The sequence below is a fragment of the Homo sapiens genome, chromosome 11 (genome assembly GCF_000001405.40).
Source record: "Homo sapiens chromosome 11, GRCh38.p14 Primary Assembly".
NCBI classification, from domain to species: Eukaryota; Metazoa; Chordata; class Mammalia; order Primates; family Hominidae; genus Homo; species Homo sapiens.
Window position 1 is genome coordinate 27,304,502 of NC_000011.10, and position 1,843 is coordinate 27,306,344.

General features: G+C 57.1%; 1 annotated feature.

The window, feature by feature from the left end:
- Nucleotides 1–295: a silencer, noted in NCBI's record as "tiled region #9357; K562 Repressive non-DNase unmatched - State 8:EnhW". NCBI's record gives its function as "represses a minimal TATA promoter and a strong SV40 promoter by Sharpr-MPRA in K562 cells {active_cell/tissue: K562}" and the evidence as "EXISTENCE:reporter gene assay evidence [ECO:0000049][PMID:27701403]".

Consider the following 1,843-nt stretch of genomic DNA (forward strand, 5'->3'; position numbering starts at 1 on the left):
CTACCGATAACAGCAGCAGCCCATCTGGAGTGGCTGCTGCAAAGACTTGGGGGTGTAGTCTAGGGGGTGTGGCAGGAGCTGCACTCCACAGATCCAACGGGAGCCAGGAAGAGGCGGGAGCCCTGCCTCCTTCCAAGTTGGTGGGGCAGGAGCCCCTGCTCCCAGGCGCAACTGCAGCCACCCAGCCATGGCTACAGACCCGGGCATTCTGTGCTCCCCAGGGCTCAGGAAGCCCTGCTCCCCCTGCAGGCTTGGAAGTGTCTGCTCCTGCTGCCTGGCCTCTCCCAGCCCCTGGCGCCTGCTCTGATTTTGGAGCAAAGTTGTGGCTGAGCCCAGGTGCTGTCATGATCCAGCCAGGTATCCACACGCTCAGGGTGGCACTGACACACCAGCCCCCTGCCGCCTCGGCTCCCTCCAGACTTTGGGCACTGACAAGCATGGGAGGAAGGCCGAGGGGGTGCTGAGGGTGGCTTGGTGCAGGCCTGCACGCACCCCTCAACACGAACAGCCTGGGCACCATGAATAGCAGTAGGAGGCAGGCAGGCTCCTGGGCTGAAAGGGGAAGGTCCCCAGTGAAACCTTATCTTCAAGTCAGGGACGGCCTGAAGCCTGGGGGCTTGGGCTTGGCTGCCAGTTCCACAAACCAGAATGAGACCTTATGGTGCTTTCTCCAGGTATGCTCACGACTGCCCATGGACCAATCAGCAGGCACTACCTCCCCTCTGAAGCCCATAAAACCCCAGGACTCAGACAGACTTGGGCAGATGGGGACACCCTGCCTGCAGAGAGGAGCTACCCACTGTGGGTCTCCTCTCCACTGAGAGCTGTACACTCATTGAGACGACCTGCCTGAAGAAAGGAACTACCCACTCCAGGTCTCCTCTCCACTGAGGGTTGCACAGACACCAGGACGACCTGCCTGCAGAGAGAAGCTGCCCATTCCAGGTCTCCTCTTTGCTGAGGGCTGCATAGATGCTGGAATGACTTGCCTGTGGAAAGGAGCTACCCACTTCCAGTCTCCTGAGAGCTGTACTATCACTTAGTAAAGCACCTCTTCACCTTGCTCACCCCCCAGATATCTGCATACCTCATTCTTCCTGGATGTGGGACAAGAACTCGGGACCCACCAAATGGCAGGACTGAAAGAGCTGTAACGCAAAGAAGGCTGAAATATGCCTGCCCCACCCCCGCCACTGGCTTGCCATGTTGTGATCAATGAAAAGGAGAGAGAAGAGCAGCGGCCCTTTGGGGACCCCAGACCTAGGAGCTCCCTGAGCCAGGGCTGTGACACCCTCTTTGGGGCTCTCTGGTTCCTGGCACCTCCAAGCTTCTGGGCACCACCACATTCCCCAGCATGCCTGGCTGTGCGCAGTGGCTGGACACTGCACTTGCTTGTTCACCTACCCCTTGCCACTCTGCATTTGGCTCACCCTTGGCAGGCATGGGATCCCAGCCTGTAGCGCAAAACAAGTGCAGCCTGCCAGGCCGAGTGGGTGGAACAAGCCCAGCTGGCTTGAGCAAAACTTGGGCAAAGGCACCACTGGCCACAGAGGTTTCTGGCTGGTGAAGTGACACCCCAAGGATCCTGTGACACTACTGTTGAGAGAGGAAAGTCTTCTTAATGCCACCTACTGCAAGACAAGGCTTATTTCTTGTTCACCATTATACTGAGTTGTTAGCCTTTGGGATCCCAGCTTTATGCATGCTGCTTCTATTGGGAATGCAACATAGGGCCTAGGTGTTAAGTCTTGTCCCCCACATGCCATGCAGCCATCAAAAGAGAAGCTCAGCATCTTCTGGGTTCAGAAATCCTCCAAACAAAAACCAGCTTTGTTGGTTTATC